This window comes from Homo sapiens, chromosome 8, assembly GCF_000001405.40.
Source record: "Homo sapiens chromosome 8, GRCh38.p14 Primary Assembly".
Lineage (NCBI taxonomy): Eukaryota > Metazoa > Chordata > Mammalia > Primates > Hominidae > Homo > Homo sapiens.
This window is the reverse complement of record NC_000008.11, coordinates 12,178,066-12,202,526: the sequence shown is the minus strand read 5'-3', so window position 1 is coordinate 12,202,526 and position 24,461 is coordinate 12,178,066. Positions and strand designations below refer to the sequence as shown.

Genomic DNA, 24,461 nt, shown 5'->3' with positions numbered 1-24,461 from the left:
GCGTCAACTGCACTCTGGCCTGGGTGGCAGAGAGAGAGACCCTATCTTTAAAAAAAGAAAGAATGTAAGGTTAAGTGCTGCCCCCAAGCCTGAGTGGCTGATCATTATACAGAGTACACGAAGATCACCAAAAACGTCACCACAGAGGCCCCCTGCCGCTGGTTCTCATTTGCCCATATCAAAAAATATGCAAGTCTGTTCATACAAAGACACACACAGATGCTCGTAGCAAAACTATTCATAATTATCAAAAGGTGGCAACAACGCAAATGCCCATCAACAACAGATGAATAAGCAAACAAGTACAGTCCACCCGTGTGATGGAACATTAATCAGCCACAATATGGAATGAAGGGCTGATTCATGCTACAACCTGGATACACCTTGAAACCATTAGGCTAAGTGAGAGAAGCCAGACAAATATTAGATGATTATATATATATATTACACACATATATATATATATATATATATATATATATATATATATATATGCCCAGAATATGAAAATCCAAAGAAACAGAAAGTAGATTAATGGTTGCCAGGAGCCAGGGGTGGGGACAGTCAGGGGGAAATAAGGGGTGACTGCTAATGGATACAGGGTTTCTTCTGGGGTAATTAAAATTTCTAAAATTGATGGTGATGATGGCTGCAAAACTCTGAGAATATATTAAAAACCACTGAATTATGCACTTTATTTATTTATTTAGAGAGAGGGTCTGGCTCTGTTGCCCAGGCTGGAGTGCAGTGGTGCAATCTCTACTCACTGCACTCTCCACCTCCCAGGCTCAAACCATCCTCCCACTTCATCCTCCTCAGTAGCTGGGACTACAGACACACACCACCATGCCCAGCTAATTTTTTTGTATTTTTGGTCAAGACAGGGTTTTGCCATGTTGCTCGGGTTCATCTCAAACTCTTGGGTTCAAGCGATCCTCCCACCTCAGCCTCCCAAAGTGCTGGGATTACAAGTGTGAGCCACCATGCCCGGCCAAATGATACACTTTAAATGGGCAAATTGTATGGTATGTGAATTATCTTTCAATAAAGCTGTTATTAAAAAGCAGCTTTAAGGGCCAGGCATAAGGGCCATGCCTGTAATCCCAGAACTTTGAGAGGCCAAGGCAGGAGGATCACTTGAGCCCAGGAGTTCAAGACCAGCCTAGACAACATGGCAAAACCTGGTCTTTACAAAAAATTTAAAAATTAGGCTTGGCGTGGTGGCTCACGCCCGTAATCCCAGCACTTTGGGAGGCTGAGGTAGGTAGATCACTTGAGGTCAGGAGTTCAAGACCAGGCTGGCCAACATGGTGAAACCCTGTCGCTAATAAAAATATTTTTTAAAAATTAGCCAGGCATAGTGGTGGGTGCCGAGGCTGAGGCAGAAGAATGGTTTGAACCCGAGAGGTGGAGGTTGCAGTGAGACGAGATTACGCCACTGCACTCCAACCTGCTGGGTGACAGAGCGAAACTCCATTTCAAAAAAAAAAAAAAAATTAATAATTAAAAATTAGCCAGGGGTGGTGGCTCCTGTTTGCAGTCCCAGCTACTCAGGAGGCTAAAGTGAGAGGATTGCTTGGGCCCAGGAGGTTGAGGCTGCAGCGAGACAAGATTGTGTCACTGCACTCTGGCCTCAGCAACAGAACAAGACCCTGTTTCACAATTTTAAAAACAATTAAAAAACAAGCCTAAAGAAAACACAAAAACCAATGCTAACTGTGAGACATAAATGAGGTGGTCTATTTTTTGTTAACTACCAACTAACAATTCATGGCAGAAACAAAGTTTAAATGATGCTATAGCCGGGCGCTGTGGCTTATGCCAGTAATCCCAACACTTTGGGAGGCTGAGGCGGGTGGATCACCTGAAGTCAGGAGTTTGAGACCAGCCCGGTCAACATGGTAAAACTCCATCTCTACTAAAAATACAAAAATTAGCCGGGCGTGGTGGCGGGTGCCTATAATCCCAGCTACTCGGGAGGCTTAGGCGGGAGAATCGCGTGAACCCCGGGGGGGCAGAGGTTGCAGTGAGCCAAGATCGCGCCATTGCACTCCAGCCTGGGCGACAGAGCGAAACTCCGTCTCAAAAAATAAATAAATAATGAAATAAATGATGCTATAAACCTCATGTGAGGGAAGACTGTCCCAGGTACAGCTTGAAGAACCCTGGCTGTGAATAAGAGCCAAATGCGATAATTCTGTTTGCAACTTGCTTGTTAGCTTGTTGCAACTCCACAGTGTAACAGGTATGAGAAAACTCATGGGGTTACTGTTTAGTGTTGGTGGAAATATTCACATTAAAATACAACAGTTTATCACCTAAGGTATATTTTATCCCTCAAGTGGCCCGGAACACTGTGATTACTGCACACCAATCGCATGCCCATAGCTAAGGCCTTGCCAAGGAGAAATTCCACAGTCACCTGGCCTATTTGTAAACCTGGTTTATGATGTTTTGTAACAGGATATCTTGACAGTAGCATGAGGACATTTAACGAGACAAGAACATTCCCCACTGACCAACCAGACAGTTTGAGGGAACAGGATGCTGTGCTCAGTTTAATCTTCTGCTGAACCGACCATTAGGCAGAAAATCCTTTGGGTCAATGCCTGTCACTGAATCCACTTCTCATCCTGTCCACCTGCCTGCTTTGCAGTGCAGAGTAAAGTGGGCCTTCCTTGGCTCTCTTCAGGGACCAATGTGCTTGAGGCCATCATGAGGACATTCATTCTTTTTTTTTTTTTTTTTTGAGAGAGTCTCGCTCTGTCGCCCAGGCTGGAATGCAGTGGTGTGATCTCAGCTCCCCACTGCAACCTCTGCCTCCCAGGTTCAAGTGATTCTCCTGCCTCAGCCTCCTGAGTAGCTGGGATTACAGGCACGTGTCACCAGGCCCAGCTAATTTTTCTATTTTCTGTAGAGACAGCGTTTCACCATGTTGGCCATGCTGGTGTCAAACTCGTGACTTCAAGTGATCCACCTGCCTCGGCCTCCCAAAGCGCTGGTATTACAGGTGTGAGCCAATGTGCCTGGCCAAGGGCTTTCATTCTTCATGGACTGCTCCATAGCCTCAGAGACAGTCAGACTGGTTTCTTCAACCAGAGCGGAGCAGACAGGCAATTTCTCCATCCACCAGGCCAAATATTAGACCAACTCTTCAATGTACAGAGAACATCATATTTCTTATATGGTAGAATACCTGTTGGTCTAAAATATAAATAAATAGTATTGTAGCCAGCCACAGTGGCTCATGCCTATAATTTCAGAGCTTTGTGGGGCTGAGGCAGGAGGTTCACTTGAGGTCAAGAGTTTGAGACCAGCCTGGGCAACATAGCAAAACCGCCCGCCCCTCACCGCCACCTGCCATCTCTACAAAAATTAAAATAATTAGCTGGGCATGGTATTGTGGGCCTCTAGTCCCAACTACTTGGGAAGCTGATGTGGGTGGATTGCTTGAGCCCAGGAATTTGAGGCTGCAGTGGGCTGTGACTGCATCACTGTACTCCAGCTAGACCTTCTCTCAAAAAAAAAAAAAAAAGTGTTGCAACTGACATTACTTTATCATTTGAAAAGAAGGACAGACAAGAAAGGTATTTGGTATTTACCAAGCAATTACCCAGAATCCTCATCCCATCCTACACCCACCCTTCCCCTAAAAATATATGTATATGTTTGTATAACATAAAAAATACATCTATTTGGCTCTGGAACCAGATTGCTTGGGTTCAATTACCTGATCTAGCATTTGCTCCTGATGACTCAGTGCAGACAAGCTCTGTAACTCAGTTTCCCCAGCTGTAAAATGGGGAATGGCGCCTTTACTGGGCTGTCATGAGGGTAAAGGAGGTAACATATATTTATAAAGCATTCAGAACAATTCATGATACATAGTAAGCTCTATATATTTGAGCTTATTATTACTGTCAGTACGATTATCATCATCGTGCTGTTTCCAATGGGTACGCTTTCTACATTCTCTTTCTTAAAGACCTTTAAATCCTTGGTATTCTCTCCACCACCACAGAGAGCAGTGTCCTTGTAGTTTAAATTTTCAAAGACTTCATGGATCCAATAAGCATGACATTAACTAAGGGACAGTTTTCTTTCAGTGGCTTGGAATCTAAAAAGGCTTTTTTATTGTTATTATTGGCCAGGCTGGTCTCGAACTCCTGACTTCAAGTGATCCCCCCACCTCACCCTCCCAAAGTGTGCTGAGATTACAGGCATGAGCCACCACGCCCGGCCCTCATTCTCTTCTTTTATAAGGACACCAGTCATTGTATCTGCCCCCTCACCAGCAGCCCCCAATCCAGGATGACTCATTGTCACTTGATTACATCTAGAAAGACCCTATTTCCAAATAAGGTCACATTCCTGGGTACTGAGGATTAAGATTTCAAATTTTTTCCCTGACTCAATTTTTTTTTTGAGTCAGGGCCTCACCCTGTCACCCAGGCTGGAGTACAGTTATGTGATTATAGCTCACTGCAGCCTCAAACTCTTGGGCTCAAGGGATCCCCTGACCTCAGCCTTCCAAGTGGCTGAGAATACAGGTGCACACCATCATGCCCAACTAATTTTTTTTTTTTTTTTTTTTTTTGTACAGGTTAGGTCTCACTCTGTTGACCAGGCTGGTCTGACCTCAATCGATTCTCTTGTCTTGGCCTCCCAAGGCAGTGGGATTACAGGCGTTATCCCGTGCCTGACCCTCTTTCTACATCTCAATCATTGTATCATTAGCCTGAGCTGCCCATATTCCTTATTCTGCCCATCCCTGATCAATCTCCTCCTTTAACAGAACTTCCATCTCGATATCATGGGGCCTGCTGGGCACTGCAAACAGCCTAAGGAAAGTGGAAATTTTACTTCACCTGAAATTCTATTACAAATTCCACATTGAACTTAATTTATATTTGAACTATAAAAATTTTCTGTAAGTTGAAACATGACCTATAAAGGTCTCTACACCCTGAAGCAACGTTTTAGAAAGAAATCAATTGGTCCTTTTCTGCAGAAACCATTAACCATAGGAGAGATAAAGGAAAAACTTCAATGCACTGATTGAACTTCCATGCCCATAGCTTAACTTCTAAAAGGTAACCATTCCATACTGTTAAACTGCCTTAGGTTATCATTACTGTTCTTAAAGAGGCCCTCAAAGCCAGCAGTTGAATCTTGACTGTAGCACTTGCACGTACACGCACACTCTTGCAACTGAAACCACTCAGATTGTCCTAAAGCTGCTCCCCATAGCAACACCACCTGGAATTTTACATTTGTTTTTAAGCATCAGTCGTAATCTTCACTTGCACCCAAACACACCGCACCTGTGAGAGCCACGTGACATTAAAAAAATCCCTTCAGTGAGGCCGGGCGTGGTGGCTCACGCCTGTAATCCCAGCCCTTTGGGAGGCCAAGGCAGGTGGATCATGATGTCAAGAGATTGAGACCATCCTGGCCACCGTGGTAAAACCCTGTCTCTACTAAAAATACAAAAATTAGCTGGGCCTGGTGACGCGTGCCTGTAGTCCCAGCTACTCGAGAGGCTGAGGCAGGAGGATCCCTTGAGCCCGGGAGGCAGAGGTTGCCGTGAGCTGAGATTGCGCCACTGCACTCCAGCCTGGCGACAGAGGGATACTGTCTGAAACAAAAAAATCCCTTCAGTGCCTTGATCCTTCCAGATTCAGATCCAAGAGAGATGACATTTGTCCCTCACCAGACACTGCACACCAAGATAAAGATTTCTTCTGGCCAGGCGCGGTGGCTCATGCCTGTAATCCCAGCACTTTGGGAGGCAGAGGTGGGTGGATCACCTGAGGTCAGGAATTTGAGACCAGCCTGGCCAAGGTGTTCAAACCCTGTCTTTACTAAAAATACAAAAGTGGCCAGGCAGGGTGGCTCACGCCTGTAATCCCAGCTCCTCGGGAGGCTGAGGCAGGAGAATCGCTTGAACCTGGGAGGTGGAGGTTGCAGTGAGCCGAGATCGCGCCATTGCACTCCAGCCTGGGCAACTAGAGAGCAAAACTCCGTCTCCAGAAAAAAAGAAAAAAAGATTTCTTCTGTGTGCATGGCTCAGCTCTGTGGTCCACTAGCGTCCTTCCTCAATCTGCTTCCAATCTGTGGACTCAGGAAAGACTGAACCAACCTAGATTTATTAATATTTTAGTATAACATAATACAGTGTTACTTACTATGGCATTGACCGTATATGCCCTTTTGCTCCTTGGAGGAAAGACAATAGCTATTATGTGAGTTAATAAAATAAGCCCAGGATTTATCAGTATAACTAACCTGTTCCCGTTGGTTTTTCTTGTCTCCTTCAGGCAGAGAGCTGATCAAAACAGCAAAAGCAAAGCAGTGCCCCTGGCCCAGTTCTGAAGCCAACCTTCCTTAATCACCCAGACCCATCCCTGGTTAGGACTTGCTGTGGATTCTCAGGTGACTCCATCTCAGGATACAGGGACTGAGAAGGTGTATGCAACATCTCAGACCCAGAAACCGTTGATTCTGTCTAAAAACACAGCAATAACCACATCCCATCCTCTTGATTTAAATGAAAGTGTTTGGAGGAATAAAAGATGAACCTTTTTTTTTCTTTGTCAGATCTTGCGCTCATTTGGTTCTGGTGGGGAACAACAGCTATAAGAGAACAAGTGTATTCAATTAGAATTAATTCCCCTCTCTTATTCTCATAGCTGAGCAGGGCTCAAGTGCCTCTCATCTGAAAGAGGTAATAAGATTTTATCTGTCTCCTCATCTACCTTTTGCAAGTATACTTAACAAATTAGCTCTCGGGACTCTTCCAAATGGAGTTTGATGAGGAATTTGCTAAGGTAAACGTTTTAGACTTTGAACACAGTTCAGATTTCAGGAGCAGTACTGAAATCTAAGCTGTGTTGCTAACTGCCCTGCCTTTCAACTCAAGACACAATAACTTTGAACTAAAATAATTATATTTTTGTTGTTTTCCACTCTGTCCCCACGTCTATATCACCACCACCCCCAATCCCACCCCGCAGGAGCTAACTCCTCCTTCCTGTCCCTGCAAGATCAAAACTCCTCCTGCAAGCCCCGCTAGCTCTGTCTGCTCACCTTCGTGGTAGATATCGTTATCGTACTTTTATCCTCATTTGTGTGATAAGTACTTCAATGTCCACTTCTTCCACGAGCACCTGAGCCCCTGAAGGGCCTGGACCACACCTAGTTTTTCTCACCGTTACATCTCCCTTGTCAGGCACATGGTAGGCGCTTAAAAAGTATTTGATGAACGAATGGCTTGTTTAGTGACAGTCCAAAGGCTGGGGGACAGAGGGAAAGCTCCCTCCTTTCGGGCCCCAGACGGGTGGCGCTGATGGAGAGGAGGCTAGGATAAGGCCTCCAGGACCGAAGCATGCACCCGTAAGGCCCCTGCTGAAAAGACCTTCCTGAAGGCGGAGGAACTGCGAGAGTGCCTACGTTAGCCCAAGGCCTGACCCGACGATCCCAGGGACCCTCGCCCTAACTGGCCCCGCCTCCCGGGCCCCAAACCTGGACTCGGCCCCGCACGAAGCTCCGGATCCTGGGCCCCGCCCCTGGCCCCGCGTCGGAAGACCATGGGCTCGCTCCTGGGCCTGCCTCAAACCCTCCGCAGGTAACGCCTCCCGAACTTGAGCCACATTCCGATCCCCTCCTCAAACCCCTCCCCGTTTCCCACACCCTGGACCCCTCGCTCCGTCTCGGCCCCGCCCCAAGCCCAGCTAGGTCTCGGCCCCTGAGCCCAGCCCCAACCGGCCTCCCAGTCCCTGGGTCCCTCCCAACACCGGCCCCTCCCTAAGCTCCGCCTCCCAGGGCCCGCCTCCTGAGCGCAGCCCAGCCCGGACTCGGCCCCGCCTCCCGGGCACTGGGCCCCTCCCCAAGTGGGCCCGTCCTAAGCTTCGCCTCCCAGAGTCCGCGCACCGCCTGGCCATGTTCTACGACATAGTCAACGCCCCGCCCCTGCCCCGCCTCCTGAGCCCTTCTCTGGGCCTGGCCTTAGCCCCGCCCTAAGACCTGTCTCCTGGGCTCTGCTCTGGGTCCCGCCTCCTGAATCCAATGGCGTTTATCCGCGCCCTAATGCCCGCCTCCAGGACTCTTATCCTGCCCCCACGCAAGGCACCGCCTCCAGGACGCCACCAACCTGGACGCTTCCGAAGCCCAGCTTCCAGGATCGCCCTATCCTGGCCCTGCCCCAGGAACCGCCAACCTGGACTCTACCCAGGACCTGCCCCGATGTCGCTTATCCTGGCCCTACCCCAGGCCCCGCCCTCCTAACGCTCATCTTGGCCCCGCCCTAGAGTCCGCCCCCAGGACGCACCTCCTGACCCTATCCCCAGGCCCCGCCCCCTCTCTGCCCCCGCGCTCTGCCCTCGGCCCGCCCCCTCTTCAGTCCAGGCCCGGCTTCCTCCAGGTCTCCCGGCAACGGCTGCGGCCTCGCCCACGTTATGGCGCCCGAGGAGAACGCGGGGACCGAACTCTTGCTGCAGGGTTTTGAGCGCCGCTTCCTGGCGGTGCGCACACTGCGCTCCTTCCCCTGGCAGGTGGGCGGCGGGGCGAGCGGAGAGGCCCGCGGGGGTCGCGGGAGTCCAGGGGCAGACGGGATGGGTCTCCGTGCTGAAACCCCCGGCGCTCCGGCCACGTGAGTTCCTGGGCTCTCCTCGGTCAGGGCCGCGAGACCCGGTCCCCGTCCCTGGGGCCTGGCCAGAGTCGCTCGCACCCCTTCTGCCCCGCGAGCTGGCGGCGGAAGCTGGGGGCGTCTCCACCGCCTTAGGGGGTAGACGCGCGCTCCGTGTGGGGTACGGTTCACGATCATTTTCACGACTTTTTAAAGGCAGTAATCGTTCTGGTCACTGGGACACAGCTGCACTCGCCCATTCTAAAAAGTCAGCGCCCTCAGGCCCGCGGGTAACCACCTCCTCCTGAGCGCGGTGACCAGGTCACAGGCTGTCCCTCGTGCCTCAGTGTTCTCATCTGTATGTCGAGCACTGCACAGAATCGGCTCATGCGCTGAGGCTTTCACGCCTGTGATGGAAGAGACAGAGAAGGGGGTGGCCTCTCCTCTCCCTGGGGACCTGCCATTCTCAGCACAGGCACATGGCAGGCAGCAGCCTCCCTTCTGCCAGCAGAGGGGCTTAATGCACCCCGTTCCATTTGTAATTCATGTGCATTGAGCTCACTGGATGAGTCAGTTGGGATATATATTCCTCCCTGGGTCTGCCCCATTTTATGGGGTGTTGCTTAATCATTTGTGTTATTCCATTGACATAAAATATTTAGCACTCAGAGATCATTTCTGGTCAGGAGAAATGTGTGCATTTTTAACCCAAAATAGAAACCTTCATAAAAGCATCATAGGTCTCCATTCAATATTGACTATAATTGTTCACATGCCCACACTGAATGCTAACTTGGGCTCACCCTCAACACCCACCAGGTGGGTACTATTATTATCACTCACATTTGACCAGAGGGATTGTTTGATTAGGGTGAAGTAGTTGAGAGTTCAGACCCAGGAGACAGCCTGCCTGCTTCGAATCCTGGCCCAACCCCTGGCCCTGTGTGACCTTGGGCAAGTGACTGTATCTCTCTGTGCTATTGTTTTCTTATTAATAAAATGGGGGATATAATGATACCTACCTCTTAGGGTTGTTCTCAGCGTTGAGTACAAATGCCTGCGGATCAGTGCCTGGCTCATGGTAAATGCATGTCGGTGTTAGCTAGTGTTTTCTTCAGTCTCAAAATGTTTAATAAATGCCTTCCGTGAGCCAGGCACCATGGATCGGCAGTACCCATGATAGATGAGGCTCTGCTTGCATGGGAGAGACAGAGAATAAATGAATAAACAAGAAAAGACCAGATGAGAGTGGCTTTAAAGCCAATAAAACAGGGAAATGGTGAATGGAGCAACTGGGGAGAACTGTCACCAAAGTCAGGGAATCAGGGAAGCCTTCCCCAAAGAGGTGGCATTTGAACTGGGACCTGAGTGGTGAAGCAGCCAGCCATGGGAAGGGTTTGGGGAACAAGATATGCAAAGGCCCTGTTGTGGAAATAAGCCAGCTGTGGTTGAGGAACAACAGCAAGGCAGCCAGTGTGGCTGGAGTGGAGTGAGCAGGGTGGGCCAGTGGTGAGGGAGAACAGGCCAGAGAGGGGGATTAGCAGCAGGCCTTGTAGGGCCTTTTATGGCATAGAAGGAGCTCTGAAGCAATGAAGTGCCTTGCCATGTGTCACATACCAGCCGAGACAGTCTGCCTAACTCGGGAGCCAAAGCTCACTGCTGGGCTTGAGGCCCCTGTAAGAGGACAATGTAACCCAGGCTGGTATGGGCACATTCTGCATTTCCACTTAAACTCAGATGGCAAGCCCATCAAACCTTGGTGCCATGGCTGCCCTGGTAATTCCTGGCTGACCAGTGTAACCAGGGAGCTGGCCCATGACCTGGGTGGCAGCTGAGTAGCCAGGACTAATGCGACCAAGAGTCAGCCTTCTTCCTGTGACTCATCCAGGTGCACCCTGCGACATCTGAAGGTCAGGCTTTCAGCCGCTGTGGCTTCCACTTCCAACTGGCTCCACGTCCCCAGGGAGGGATCACATAGAGCTTTGCCAACACATTCTATTGCGTGTTTAATGTTCCTGTGAATGGGCCCTTGAGATTTCTCTCTCTCCCATCCACACAGAGCTTAGAGGCAAAGTTAAGAGACTCATCAGATTCTGAGCTGCTGCGGGATATTTTGCAGAAGGTAAGAATCCCAGAGTCCCTGGGACTCATGATCCTGCCTCTTGAATCTCTCCGGAAGACCTGAGAGAAGCAGCACAGGTGTGCTTGTACCCTTTAAAAACAGCCCTCTTCAAAGAACAAAACCATTGAGTCAGCACTTCAGGAGGGTGTCAGCACCTCCGACAGCTCCTACGGTTTCGTTTTCTATGTAAGACTTAGAAAAGACATCAGAATATACAAAATTCTGCAAGAGGGGGGAAATCTAGGGAATGTTTTTTAAACCATCCACAGCAAAAACAGAGATGACAGGTGCAAAACAGCTTCTAGCATTTGGTAGATGCTCAGAGACTTTCTTTTTTGCATTCATGAGGCCTGTCCCGCCCACTCCTGTCTCTTCTAGACCTAAATGGGCCCTTGCTTTGCCCAGGGTGGGGTTTGGACTCAAGTGCATCTGCATGCAAGTGAGAGCCAGGATCACCACCTGGCCCAGCCACAGGCTGACCTTGGCATTGAGGGCCAAGTGCAGATCACCCTGCATCCTGGGTCTTCACCTTCAAAGAGCCATGAGCCCTTCTGAAAAGACAAAGCAATAGACTCCCTCCCAGAAAGAAGTGCACCAGAATACATTTTCCATACAAACTCAGGGGAGGCAGACATCCTCCACGCCCACCCACCCAGCCCATCCTAGGAGCCCCGGTGAAGAATTCCTGTGCTAGAGATGAACCAAGATTATCCACGTGGAAAAGATGCAGCCACAGCAGGGAAGACTTTCGGGGCAATACAGTAGGTCAGGGCTTCGAGCATGGAGATACCTGAAGTTATCTCGCACCTTGCTCTGAGTTTCACCCTGAGCCTCACTCTCATAGGTGGTGAAGCATGAGATGTAGGGAGAGCTGCTTTAAAACCCAGCACAAGGCTGGTTGTACTGGCTCACACCTGTAATCCCAGGTCTTTGGGAGGCTGAGGTGGACGGATCACCTAAGGTCAGGAGTTCAAGACCAGCCTAGCCAACATGGCAAAAACCCATCTCTACTAAAAATAAAAAAAAATTAGCTGGGTGTGGTGGTGCACGCCTATAGTCCCAGCTACTCGGGAGGCTGAGGCAGGAGAATCGCTTGAACCCAGGAGGTGGAGGCTGCAGTGAGCCAAGATCGGGCCACTGCACTCCAGCCTGGGCAACAGAGCGAGACTCTGGGTCAGAACAAATGAAAAACCAGCAACAGCATGAAGAGCCTGTGTATTGCCTGGGGTACTTTGCTGCCCTTGGGCAGAATCTGCATCCCTCCCAGCCAGCAGGCGCTGCGGACGGTCTCCTCCCTCTCCCTCCAGGCTCCTGTTTTCCCGCCGTCCCCACTCCTGCTGCACCAGTCCCTCTGCCCTCCGTTCCAAGTGCCAGCCCGTGGCCACCTCAGAGCTTGCACAGGCTGTTCCCACTGCCTGGAACTTGCTCATCCTGCACTTGGCTTCTCTCGGCTTTAGTTGGAGTCACCCTGAGCTTCCCCTCCCCTCCATCCTGTCCCCAGGGACACACGCTCCCAGAGAGCAGTTGCTGAGTGGGCCTTCCCGCCTCTTCCATAAAGCCAGATAGTTGGCGACTGACCTTACTGCAAACCCTGGTTCACACTGGCTCCCCTGGGAGGGAGGTGGTTTGGGCCCACATGCCCTGTGTTCCTGCTCAGAATGGGCATTAGAAATGCTGCCATAGCCTGTGCCACTGCAGTGGAAGCATTTTTAGGAAACGGCTTATATCTTAAGACAAACTTCAGATGCATGGGGCCAGAACGCTGTGTCCATCTGCATCTTTGCTGAGGGATCGGGTAGCCTGGAGTTTGCCCTCTGCTGTGTTGGCTTGAAGCTCATAGGAGACTTAAGACGGGCTCTCAAGCAACCAACGTTCTGTCCTTTGCCGTAGACTGTGAGGCATCCTGTGTGTGTGAAGCACCCGCCGTCAGTCAAGTATGCCTGGTGCTTTCTCTCAGAACTCATCAAAAAGGTCAGTTATAGGCAGTGTCCGCCCAGTAGCTGGACAGCATAGCCACCGGCGTGCTGCACACTCCGTCCTTCCCAGGCCCTGGGCCTGCTTTGCAAACCCCAGCATGGCAGGGCCCTCCCCAGGCAACTGGCTGCAGCTGAGTGTGACCCATGGGAGACAGTGCAGGGTGGGAATAAGGGGAGGCCAGCATCTCTCCCTGAGTCTGCCCTCTGGGGTTTCCACAGCAGCTGCTTCTCTGGGGCCTCAGCTCCTAGCATATGGATTCTCATTCCTACCAGGCTGGACCAGCCCACAGCACTGGAACCATCACCCACACCCTCTGTCCTGCCCACCAAAGGGTTTGGAGTTTCCTGCTCTTGTCCATCTCTGGGTTGCCCCACGGGCCCCTGTTGGAAGTTTTAGCTCTTGCCATACCTTTGGAACTAGTTCCTCTGGTGAATTCTCTGCATTGATCCTGCTGGAATGAGCTCTTTCCTGACTGATATAGGATGGATTTTATTTTTTACTTATTTATTTATTTATTTATTTATTTATTTATTTATTTATTTATATATTTTTTTTGAGACAGAGTCTCACTGTGTTGCCCAGGCTGGATTACTGTGGCACAATCTCGGCTCACTGAAACCTCTGCCTCCTGGGTTCAAGCAGTTCTCGTGCCTAGCCTGCTAAGAAGCTGGGACTACAGGCACATGCCACCATGTCTGGTTAGTTTTTGTATTTTTAGTAGAGACAGAGTTTCACCATGTTGGCCAGGCTCATCTCGAACTCCTGACCTCAGGTGATCCGTCTGCCTCGGCCTCCCAAAGTGCTGGGATTACAGGCATGAGCCACCGCACCTGGCCTAGGATGGATTTTAAAGATGGGCCCGAACATGCAGGGTTTGACATGAGGATGTCGAGAGGCCATTCCTTAGTAGGCAGTAGCAGACCTGCTGAGTGAAAGGGCCACACTTTTAACAAATAAACAATCCCCTGCTTCTCCAATACCTGCTTTCTCCCTAGTTCTCCCCAAAAGGGTGCATCTCTGGTCACCAGCAGGTCTGCCCTGTGCCACCACGAGAGGGCAGCAGTCACCCAGTGTACCCTGCTGCTGCCCTGTGAATCCTAGGACTGGGCCAGCTGTGGAGAAGCAGCCTGCTGACAGCCACAGCCTGCAGCATGGGCCGCCCTCACAGTTCTGCCTGGGCTCACTTAAAAGCACCTTTTGTTTTCCTCCTCTCTGTGTTTGATCCAAACACAGAGCTCTCTGTCATGGTCATGTGGCAGCTCTCACGGAATCCTTGTCTCCTGCCCTAGACTACACCTAACCCTACCCTCTCAACACCTCTTGTTGAAAGCCCTCCCATCCAGGTTTCCCTACCAAGTGGAATAATTTTTTTTTTAGAGACAAGATCTCTGTTGCCCAGGCTGTCCTCGAACTCCTGGGCTCAAGCAGTCCTCCCACGTCAGCCTTTAGAGTAGCTGGAACTATTCGACACACACCACCACGCCCAACGAAGTGAGTATTTTATATACCAGCTGGCCGGTATTACACCATTCCATCCCAAATCTCCCCTCCAAACTTGGTGAAAATCATCTGGCCATTTTTACAGATTAGAACGAAAGCAAACAAGCTCTCACTCTGTCTGCCCCCAGCACGAGGCTGTCCACACGGAGCCTTTGGACAAACTGTACGAGGTGCTCACGGAGACTCTGATGGCCAAGGAGTCCACCCAGGGCCACCGGAGCTATTTGCTGGTATGAGAAAGGCACCCTCCTCCCCCTCACAGCCCAGATACCCTTCCTGCACAGACAAAGTGAAAACGTGGGTGTGGGTTCAAATCCTGACTCACCCATTCTGCAGTCTTAGACATGAGGTCCATTAACCTTCTTTAGCCTCAGTTTCCCTGTCTGTAAATCAAGCACTTCAACAACAACAGCATGTCTCGTGGGGTTGTTGGGCATTTGTCCAATAGGTGACACACACTACCTGCTTCACAAGGACCTGGTGCCCAGTCCTCAAAGAATACTTGACAGGGCTGGACATGGTCTCTCATGCCTGTAATCCCAGCACTTTGGGAGGCCAAGGCGGGTGGATCTGAGGTCAGGAGTTCGAGACCAGCCTGGCCAATATGGTGAAACCCTGTCTCTACTAAAAATACAAAAATTAGGCCAGGCGTGGTGGCTCATGTCTGTAATCCCAGCACATTGGGAGGCTGAGGCAAGGGGATCACCTGAGGTCAGGAGTTTGAGACCAGCTTGGCCAACATGGTGAAAATCCATCTTTACTAAAAATACAAAAATTAACGGGGTGTGGTAGTGGGCGCCTGTAATCCCAGTTACTCGGGAGGCTGAGGCAGGAGAATCTCTTGAACCCGGGAGGTGGAGGTTGTAGTGAGCCGAGATCGTGCTATTGCACTCCGGCCTCGGCAACGAGAGTGAATCTGTGTCTCAAAAAAAAGTACAAAAATTAGCTAGACATGGTGGCACACGCCTGTAGTCACAGCTACCTGGGCAGGTGAGGCAGGAGAATTGCTTGAACCCAGGAGGCAGATGTTGCAGTAAGCCAAGATCGTGCCACTGACTCCAGCCTGGGTGACAGAGCTCAAAAAAAAAAAAAAAATGAGATAAAACATAGATACAGAAAACCACAAAGGAAAAACATAGCATATTGAATCATCACAAGGCAGCCACCTCTTCATAGCCACACCTGGCCCCTGGCCACCACTGACCTGTGCTCCATCGCCAGAATTCCGTTGTCTCAGGAATGTTCAATAGATGGAATCCTGTGTGGCCTGAGATGAGTGTCTTTCATGCCGCGTGACACCCTTGAGGCCCGTGCAACTGTTGGTATGTCAACAGTTAGCTGCTTCTCATTGCTGAGTGGCGATTGGTCCTGTCATGGTTTATTCAGCCATGTGGTGGATGGCTACTTGTCTTCTAAGCCACTTGCCTTCTGATCGCTGGACTGACTCTCTCGCCCTCTCTTGGTGCAGTCCTCAGGAGGCTCAGTCACACTCTCCAAGAGCACAGCCATCATCTCCCACGGTACCACAGGCCTGGTCACATGGGATGCCGCCCTCTACCTTGCAGAATGGGCCATCGAGAACCCGGCAGCCTTCATTAACAGGTGACCTTGGGGCACAGGGCAGGGCACCGAGGCAGGCTTACCCTGGTGCAGTCGAAAACACGGTCCCCTTTCCTCCCGCCAGGACTGTCCTAGAGCTTGGCAGTGGTGCCGGCCTCACAGGCCTTGCCATCTGCAAGATGTGCCGCCCCCGGGCATACATCTTCAGCGACCCTCACAGCCGGGTCCTCGAGCAGCTCCGAGGGAATGTCCTTCTCAATGGCCTCTCATTAGAGGCAGACATCACTGGCAACTTAGACAGCCCCAGGGTGACAGTGGCCCAGCTGGACTGGGACGTAGCAATGGTCCATCAGCTCTCTGCCTTCCAGCCAGATGTTGTCATTGCAGCAGGTAATGCCCAGCCCCGGGCATCCTGTGCAGGCGGTGTCCTTGCAGCTCTACCCAGCTCTTGGCTCTGGGAAAAGGGAACAATGGACACTGTCGGGCATGGATGTGATGGGGCTTCCAGAAGAGTTACTCTGGGCCTCCAGGGTGACATCAAAGGACAGGGGTGCCTCTTAAGGTGACCTTCAAGCCACAGCCCTGTTGTTGGAGACAGGCATACTACAGTTACAGTCGTCACCACATGGCTCTGTCCCAGAGCCATGCCCTGTGTCCTTCAGAGACCGCAGGAGGAAAACAACCACTTCTGGTACGAGGTCAGGGCCCTTGAGAGAAGGTGCTGTTTGGCTGGGCCACCGAAAACCCCTCACCCCTGTGAGCACACTCAGTCCCCTCTCTGGTGGAACAGAACTCTGCCTGTAGTCCTGGGTCCCAGCCCTGAAACCCACAGGTCCAGCGGTGGCCAGGGACACAGGCCCACCCCTGCAAGCCAGCAGACCAATCGGCAGACACCTGAAACACGAAGTTCACGGCAGGGTCAGGCTTTCTGTCATTGAAAGCCCTCTAGACAGGCCGAGAACCAGAGCTGGTTTTTTAAGGACACCAGTGAGTCTGGAGATTTTTTTCTTTTGCTTCGGTCTTTTGCAGCTTTCTCTAATAAGGGTTCTCCTTTTTCACCCAAATAATTGCCTTTCCATCTAATGGCCCAAATGGTCAAATGGCATCTAATAGTCTCATATGACCGCTGCCTCTCTGGCCTCGCCCTGCTGCTGAGGTCAGCATGAACTGGAACTTTCCACTTGTCCCTTTCAGTAACCTGAAACTTTCACCGTAGACGTGCTGTATTGCCCAGAAGCCATCGTGTCGCTGGTCGGGGTCCTGCAGAGGCTGGCTGCCTGCCGGGAGCACAAGCGGGCTCCTGAGGTCTACGTGGCCTTTACCGTCCGCAACCCAGAGACGTGCCAGCTGTTCACCACCGAGCTAGGTGAACCCCCACGCCCACCCGGGCCTACATGGTGCCCGAGCTGTCCCTGCAGGACTCCAGTGGAAGTGAAAGAACTGGGCGCTGGGGAAAAGCTAGGATGCTCCACACTCCCACACTATGCGGGGAACTCGGGCAGAGGCCGGTGAGCAGGGTGGGCTCGGGGCGTGGGGGGCTTGAGGCAGGAGGAGGACACCTCAGCACAGGGAGGGAGGGTCTGAGCCCAGCAGCCCTACTATGTGCTTCAGAGCAGGGTTCCCTAAGCCCTTGGGCCTCGGTTTCCTCATCTATAAAATGGAGGTGGCGGGAGCGGCAGTCGGGGTCAGGGCTGGACACAGCTGTGGACTGCAGGACGCTGGAGCACAGGCTGTACAGGCGGATCCACCACGCCACTGTCCTGAGCACCCAGTTGATGGAAGACGAGCAGGGTGACTATAGAGAAGGGAAACTGGCCCCGTAGTGGGCCAGCCACTGTCCTCAGACCTGACATTTGTCAACCCCCAGCACCTGTGAGGGTGTGCTGTCATTGTCCCATCTCACCGACAAAGACACTAGGACACACAGAGGCCAAGTGACCCCCGAGCTCCCGCAGACTGCAGCCCGGCCACCTGGCTCTCGTGCCTCCACACTACACCCAAGCCCCCCATTGCCACCAGCCTCTGCCCCAGCTCCCCCTGAGCACAGCCCCTCCTGGCAGCCATGTGCACAGATGTACCCGCAGCAGCCTCTGCCTGTACACAGAGACATGGATGACCCAGTGCCTGTCCACGTGGGGCAGCCCATTAACTACAGAGTCAACAAACAAGCCAGCACATGAAGGCATACTGGGTTCCATGACAGAGTCCCACACAACCTCGCACAGGAGGCTGGCCGGGCGCGGGGCTCAGGCCTGTCATCCCAGCACTTTAGGAAGCTAAAGCAGGAGGACTACTTGACCCCAAGTGTTCAAGACCAACTTGGGCCACATAGTGGGACCCCATCTTCACAAAACATACAGAAACTAGCCAGATGTGGTTGCACACACCTGTAGTCCCAGCTACTCGGGAGGCTGAGGTGGGAGGATGGCTTCAGCCCATGAGGTGGAGGCTGCAGTGAGCCCTGATCTCACCACTGCACTCCAGCGTGGGTAACAGAGCAAGACCCTGTCTCAAAAAAGCAAAAAAGCAAAAAAAAAAAAAAAAAAAAAAAAAAAGGAAGTCTTTCTTCAGATACTTACGTGAAAAAAAACCTGCAATATCTTTTAAGTGAAAAAAACAGTGCCAAGCAGCACACATAGTATAAGCCTCAACCAACCTTTTTTTTTTTTTTGAGACAGAGTCTGGCTGTGCCCGGCCACTTTCTAAGCTTTGTGAAGAGTGAGTTGACTGAGCAGCCAGGGAGATGTGGGTTCAGATCTCTGCTTCTGTCCTGCTGTGCCAAGTGCTGGGGCAGACGCAGGCACAGAGTGGACAGCGGCATGGTGCCTGCTGCTAGCCATTTCTATGCAAAACCAGAGTTCTGGTCCCATCCTGGAGGCGAATTCTAGGTATGTGGGTGGGCCTCGGAACCTGTGAACCAAGTAAACTGACTTAGACACCCCCCACCCCGCCAGGCCTGTCCTAGCAGCCCCACACAAAACGCTCATGTCCTGTCCCCAAACACCGCCATCCTCAAACACGTGCTTTGTTTCCAGGCCGGGATGGGATCAGATGGGAAGCGGAAGCTCATCATGACCAGAAACTGTTTCCCTATGGAGAGCACTTGGAGATGGCAATGCTGAACCTCACACTGTAGGACTCACACATGACTCCAAAGGGATTGTGAGAATCAAGTCACTCTCGTGGGAAGAATTTTTATATGGGAAAGTGGATAAAACTTTCATTGGACTGGAATGTTTGGAGATTATTAAACTCCAAATCAGGAATCAAAACTGCCCTCTAATAAGACATTAGCTGTCTAGGCGTGTGGGTGCCCCCTTTCTGCCAGCAGTTCTGGTTCTCAAGAAAATCATCATAAATCAGACATGAAAATTCTAGCTCCAAAAATAGCATTTTCTTTCTGCAAATAAAAACGTGTGTATCAAGGATGACGTTCCCCCAACGTGGACACACTCGGTTCCTCAGAAAGCCAAGCCCGCTGCAGCTGCCACATCCCTGGACACACTCGGTTCCTCACAAAGCCAAGCCCGCTGCAGCTGCCACATCCCTGGACACACTCGGTTCCTCACAAAGCCAAGCCCGCTGCAGCTGCCACATCCCTGGACACACTCGGTTCCTCACAAAGCCAAGCCCGCTGCAGCTGCCACATCCCAGGGCTTATGGTGCAGCAGGCGCTTTTTTCAAGACAGGAATGAAAGTGTTAGGAACACGGCAGAAAGGTGACACCTGGAGACCAAATGCAGGATGAGGAGTACTGCAGAGGTCACAGGGAAGTCACAGAACAGTAATACGCTAGCAGGGGCATGGGGCATGAAGAACAGAAGACAGGAAGCATTTCAGAGACTCCAAAGAAGAAATCAGGGCCAACCACAGCTTCCCGGGTCATTCACCAGGTGACACCACTGCCGTCATTTCAGCTTCTGGCCACTGGGAGGCGCTGCTCGAAAGGCTTTGCCCTGAGACTCCAAGAAGCTGCGGGAAGGACAGCAGGGGCCCTGGGGTTTTAGCCTCTGGCCCAGGAGTTATGTGTCCATAACCAAAGGGAGCACAGTCTGCACCCAGCTCTCATCCCATCAGAGCTGCTGAGACTCTTGCAGGTTCTTCCAGAACTGGCTTAGCTTGCCTGCAGGATCAGAAAAGTTTGAGAAAAGCATCTGCAAAATGCTAAAGAGCAGAGCTTAACTCATTGCCTGTCCCCACCCCATCCCAGGTCACCACTTGGATGACCCCAGGTCCCCGACCCAACAACAACCCCTCCCAAGTCCCTAACTCCCTCACTTGGACTTGAGACCCTTCACAACCCCCCTCACTTGGACTTGAGACCCTTCACAACCCAGCAGCGCTCCACTTCCAACTTGACATCATGCTTTCTGGAAACTTCCCCGTATGTCCCACTTTCCCACACTTGGTGCCCTGGAGCACCTTCCGGCCTCTACATGCTGTACGTTCCCCTGTGAGCACCCTCCTCTCGGCCTCTGGCCAACACAGTCCCACCCATCTGTGGGTAACAAGGGGGTGTGGGTGTTCTTTTCAGCCTTGCTAAACTGTCTGAATCAAGGATCACAAACTACAGCCTGCAGGCCAAATCCAGCCCACAGCCTGTGTTTGTAAATAAAGCTTTGTTGGAACAAAGCCACACCCCTTAATCTACAGATGATCTGTGGCTACTTTCACACCACAACAGAGTACCATGGTTCTGACAGAGACTGGGGTACCCTGTCTAAATGACTTCTGACCTGGACATTTACTGAAAATCCTCCCAATCATTCTGTTGACAAGAATGATGTATTACTTTTTGCAATAAGAAACAAGTAACCTTTGCAGAATTCCACCCATCTTTCAAGGCTGGTCCCAGAAGTTCCCTTTGCCCACGCACCTACCTGATCCGATCACTTCCTAAACTGCAGCCCGGCCCACCCGGCTCCAGCATCGTTTATGGAGTGTCAGCTCCATAAATCCAGAGGGCAGGTGGGGTTGTGTCCTAACTTTCCCGAGCCTACTGTACCGAAATGGGACAGCAGAGTAGGAGGCCTCTGTGACTTCTGCTCCCCCACTAGCTTTTCCACCAGACCCCCCATGGTCCCACCCTGGCTGTGGGAAGCAGGGATCAGGGAGCGTGGCTCGATGCCAGTCTCCAGAACCCTGCCCACCCTGGCGTGGTGGCAGACATGGCTACCTGCAGCTGAGCTGCCAGTTCCTCTGACTCCTCAAAGATCAGGCCATTTTCTACATGTTTCACCAGCTCATGTAAACTGCAGACAGAACCAAGGGAGCCTGAGAGCTGCCTGGGGAAGACACCAGACTCCTGGGGTGCCCAGCTGGGATCCCACCCACCCCACGCTCAAGCCAGGCTGGGGTTTGGAACAGGGGGTGTGGTTTCTGGGAGCTGGTTCTTAGATTTGGCATCTGAAGGGTATAAAGGCCTGGGGGGGTGCACATCAAAATGACCAAACCGATTTGAGGAGGGAGCCTTAAGGAAGGTTTGTACCTTCTGTGCTGGATGCTCTTCAAGTACTGAAGAATTACTTTTGCATGTTTTTCTTAATTCCATGGCCATGGAACAAGTAAAGGCAACCCCCTGGGGACTGGTTCAGCACATAAAAGATGACTTTTCTAGGACACCAGATTTGATCCCCACATTCCCTGAGCTCAGCTCACACGAGGGGCTCGCATCCCTGAATCCCATCCAGGAGCCGGCTGCTGAGCAGGGGCCAAGGGCTCAACTTGTGCTGGGGCTACTGCTTCTAGAATCTCCTCTAATGCCACCCTTCCAAACACCCGTCTATGCTGGGTGGAGTGAGGCCACAGCATGACACTCATTTAACTCATTCAAACCCACCATGTGAGCTTGGCCAAAAGGGACATGGTGGGAGAGAAAAACAAAGAAAACCATGTAAGCCTGCAGGCATTTCCCGCCAATTCTACTCTAGGAGCAAAAGCCCCGAGTGGAGTTCTAGTATTTAAGGTGCTTTATTTTTTTTTCATATTGGGTTGGTGCAAAAGTAATTTTCAGTTTTAATGGCAAAAACCGTGATTACTTTTGTACCAACCTAAATATAGCATGAGCTCTAAATGGAAGCACCTACTTCAGTGAGGCTCAGCCCAGCCACAGTAACCGCAGGGCTCCTCCTCGTGGCCTCCAGTGTGTGCTGGACTGACCAAGGGGCAGGGCCTCACTTTGGGCAGCTCACTCTGCACTGCTTCCCCGTCAGCGGTGGATCTGTGAAGCTATCCCCAGAAAGATTCGGGTTCTGCTCCTACCACTTGAAGTTCACGGCACACGCAGGCAAACAGCACCTGAACATGTCCACCACCTTCATGGGCAGGTCCAGGCCACTGGAGGATGTGTCCAGAGAGACACCCAGGTCCACCAACCCTGCTAGGCAAGAGGGGTGGGTCAGAGTGCTGGTCTCTGCCCTGGGAACACAAATCCTCCCAGCACAGTGAGACAACATCCCCCGAGGGGAGTGAAAATTGGATAAGGCCCCCGACAGCCCCAAGCACAAGTGGCTTAAGCTGGCCAAGCAGCCACACGGCCTGGCTGGGACATCTGAAAATGTAAGTTGACACTTTTTCTACGTAACCACAATTTGTTTTTTTGTTGTTGTTGTTTGTTTTGTTTTGAGACAGAGTCTCACTCTGTCACCCAGGCTGGAGTGCAGTGGCACAATCTCAGCTCCCTGCAACCTCCACCTCCCAGGTTCACCTCCCGCCTGTAATCCCAGCATTTTGGGAGGCCAAGGCGGGTGGATCACCTGAGGTCAGGAGTTCAAGACCAGCCTGGCCAACATGGTGAATCCCCATCTCTACTAAAAATAAATACAAAATTAGCGATGTTAATCCGTGGCATGTGCCTGTAATCCCAGCTACTCAGGCGGCTGAGGCAGGAGAATCGCTTGAACCTGGGAAGGCAGAGGTTGCGGTGAGCGAAGATCGCGCCATTGCACTCCAGCCTGGTCTACAAGAGCGAAACTCCGTCTCAAAATAATAATAATGATAATAATAATAATAATAATAATAAACCATAACACACCCACCACAAACCAGCTGTCAGTGTGAAAATAAAGCCAAATAGCTTAACATTTCTAAAGACTACCTGGGGCCAGGCATGATGGGTCACGCCTGGAATCCCAGCACTTAGGGAGGCCAAGGCGAGAGGATCACTTGAGGTCAGGAGTTCAAGACCAGCCTGGACAACATGGTGAAACCCTGTCTCTACTAAAAATACAAAAATAAGCCAGCTGTTGTGGTGGACTCCTGTAATCCTGTAATCTACTTGGGAGGCTGAGGTGGGTGAATCGCTTGAACCCAGGAGGCGGAGGTTGCATGAACTGAGATCGTGCACTCCAGCCTGGGCAACGGAGCAAGACTGTCTAAAACAAAGACTAGCTGGAGAATCCTGCCAGGAAAAAGCCCTCAGACTCCAACTGTTCTGCTCACTGGAAGGTGGAAGATGCAGCTCTAGAGACGCATCAGGACCAAGCCACGACTCCCCACTTGGAGAAATCAACGGGGAAAGAGATGCAGGCAAAGGAGAACCATCTCACTGGGAGAGGCGACGCTGTTTGACACATCGTCCCTGTTCCTCCCAAAGCCACTGCCCTCCCACACCTGGGCAACAGTGGCCCCAAACCCAGGCCCAGCCCTCCTGCAGGAAGGAAGAGGACTGAATGGAGGGCGTGGCAGACTGAAAGGACGTGGCCTCCTCAAACCCCTTGGTAAAGGGCCTCTGGGGCGACCTGGCAGGGAGGGGCTGGCACACCAGGAAGTAGCCTCCTCCCGGGAGTTCAGCCAGAGCCCATGTCCTGTCCCCAAGTGGCCTCCAGAGCCACCTTTTCAGAAAAAGTACATCATGCCCACCCCTGCTCCCCCTGCTTAAGGCCCCGCCTCCTCCCTGAGCCTCCTGCTGGCCTCTCACCTAGAAGCGGGGGTAGTCCTTGGCCCTGCAGTCAGGGGGTGCAGACCTGGATCTGCTGGAAATGCTTCTGGTGGATGAGGCGGCTGTAATACTCCCTCAGAGGCCTTTTGCCTTCACAGAGAAGAGCAGACACTGCCATGGACCCGTCTCTGTCCCTGCCACGTGGCCCCAGGCCCAAGACACTCCCCCTAGGAGGGATCCTTTCCCCAGAAGCTCCACCCCTCGGCAGCTCCAGTCAGGCCCCATCTGTGCCCTTCCAGAAGCAACCCAGGAGCCCCGAGACCTGCAGGGATGTGTGCACCCTGACCCCTGACGCCTAGTCCTGCACCTGCAGCCAGCTGGCCTCGGGCTGCAAACATGGCGGGGTAAGCACTGGCCTGGCACCCGACCGCCCACTGGGTGGACCCAGCCTTCTGTCTGTGTTGTGCGCAGGGGACACGAGGACTCCCCCTGCCCTGGCACAGCCCCCAGAGCACATGGCGCAGGTTCCAAGCTGCCCCTGCCTTGCCACAGCCCCCAGAGCACATGGTGCGGGTTCCAAGCCGCGCCTGCCTTGCCACAGCCTCCAGAGCACACGGCGCAGGTTCGAAACCACTCCTGGGAGCCTAGAGGCCAAAGGAGGGAGGAGAGCAGGACCAGCAGCTGGCCCAGACCCCGCCTCTTCCCACACCACTTCCGCTTTTCTCCCTCCTCACTGACTCACCTTGAAAGGGCTCAGCAGCCGTAACTGAGGGACAGGGGCTCTTCCGTTTGAAAAA

The 24,461-nt window shown here is 51.9% G+C and overlaps 1 protein-coding gene, 1 long non-coding RNA gene and 1 pseudogene across 22 annotated transcripts, besides 5 other annotated features; 1 reads left to right on the top strand and 2 right to left on the bottom strand.

Annotated features, from left to right (window-relative positions):
- Positions 1-16,791, bottom strand: FAM85A (family with sequence similarity 85 member A). Its single transcript, NR_146925.1, has 4 exons — positions 15,430-16,791; positions 6,289-6,636; positions 3,731-3,823; positions 1-45 (listed from the first exon to the last, which is right to left on the bottom strand). It is a non-coding gene; the product is annotated as a family with sequence similarity 85 member A (long non-coding RNA).
- Positions 6,724-7,293: an enhancer, noted in NCBI's record as "H3K27ac hESC enhancer chr8:12052743-12053312 (GRCh37/hg19 assembly coordinates)". NCBI's record gives its function as "activates a minimal SCP1, AML or CMV promoter by ChIP-STARR-seq in primed H9 embryonic stem cells {active_cell/tissue: H9 hESC(primed)}" and the evidence as "EXISTENCE:reporter gene assay evidence [ECO:0000049][PMID:30033119]".
- FAM86B1 (family with sequence similarity 86 member B1 (gene/pseudogene)) lies at positions 7,590-20,421 on the top strand. 21 transcript variants are annotated; one of them, XM_006716256.5, is made up of 8 exons: positions 8,394-8,552; positions 10,686-10,748; positions 12,639-12,719; positions 14,354-14,455; positions 15,694-15,827; positions 15,910-16,175; positions 17,002-17,151; positions 18,821-20,421. In XM_006716256.5, the coding sequence occupies exons 1-8, from the start codon at positions 8,457-8,459 to the stop codon at positions 18,919-18,921; spliced, it is 993 nt and encodes a 330-aa protein (XP_006716319.1). In that variant the 5' UTR covers positions 8,394-8,456; the 3' UTR covers positions 18,922-20,421. The 21 variants fall into 21 exon arrangements, 20 of the variants coding, with proteins under 20 accessions (XP_024303082.1, XP_047278314.1, XP_016869407.1 ...); XM_006716257.5 differs by lacking the exon at positions 12,639-12,719 and having other exon boundaries at positions 17,002-17,293; XM_017013916.3 differs by lacking the exon at positions 14,354-14,455 and having other exon boundaries at positions 17,002-17,293.
- Positions 19,808-23,830, bottom strand: ALG1L11P (ALG1 like 11, pseudogene; annotated as a pseudogene).
- Positions 20,448-20,947: an enhancer, noted in NCBI's record as "H3K4me1 hESC enhancer chr8:12039089-12039588 (GRCh37/hg19 assembly coordinates)". NCBI's record gives its function as "activates a minimal SCP1, AML or CMV promoter by ChIP-STARR-seq in primed H9 embryonic stem cells {active_cell/tissue: H9 hESC(primed)}" and the evidence as "EXISTENCE:reporter gene assay evidence [ECO:0000049][PMID:30033119]".
- Positions 20,948-21,449: an enhancer, noted in NCBI's record as "H3K4me1 hESC enhancer chr8:12038587-12039088 (GRCh37/hg19 assembly coordinates)". NCBI's record gives its function as "activates a minimal SCP1, AML or CMV promoter by ChIP-STARR-seq in naive and primed H9 embryonic stem cells {active_cell/tissue: H9 hESC(naive and primed)}" and the evidence as "EXISTENCE:reporter gene assay evidence [ECO:0000049][PMID:30033119]".
- Positions 21,589-22,099: an enhancer, noted in NCBI's record as "H3K4me1 hESC enhancer chr8:12037937-12038447 (GRCh37/hg19 assembly coordinates)". NCBI's record gives its function as "activates a minimal SCP1, AML or CMV promoter by ChIP-STARR-seq in naive H9 embryonic stem cells {active_cell/tissue: H9 hESC(naive)}" and the evidence as "EXISTENCE:reporter gene assay evidence [ECO:0000049][PMID:30033119]".
- Positions 22,100-22,612: an enhancer, noted in NCBI's record as "H3K4me1 hESC enhancer chr8:12037424-12037936 (GRCh37/hg19 assembly coordinates)". NCBI's record gives its function as "activates a minimal SCP1, AML or CMV promoter by ChIP-STARR-seq in naive H9 embryonic stem cells {active_cell/tissue: H9 hESC(naive)}" and the evidence as "EXISTENCE:reporter gene assay evidence [ECO:0000049][PMID:30033119]".

Excerpts from the sequence above, each read along its gene's own strand:
- FAM86B1 (XM_006716257.5), top strand. The coding sequence starts at position 8,457 with ATGGCGCCCGAGGAGAACGCGGGGACCGAACTCTTGCTGCAGGGTTTT. Across the intron at positions 15,828-15,909 it reads CCGGCAGCCTTCATTAACAG|GACTGTCCTAGAGCTTGGCA; the intron begins GTGACCTTGGGG and ends TCCTCCCGCCAG. Across the intron at positions 16,176-17,001 it reads AGATGTTGTCATTGCAGCAG|ACGTGCTGTATTGCCCAGAA; the intron begins GTAATGCCCAGC and ends CTTTCACCGTAG.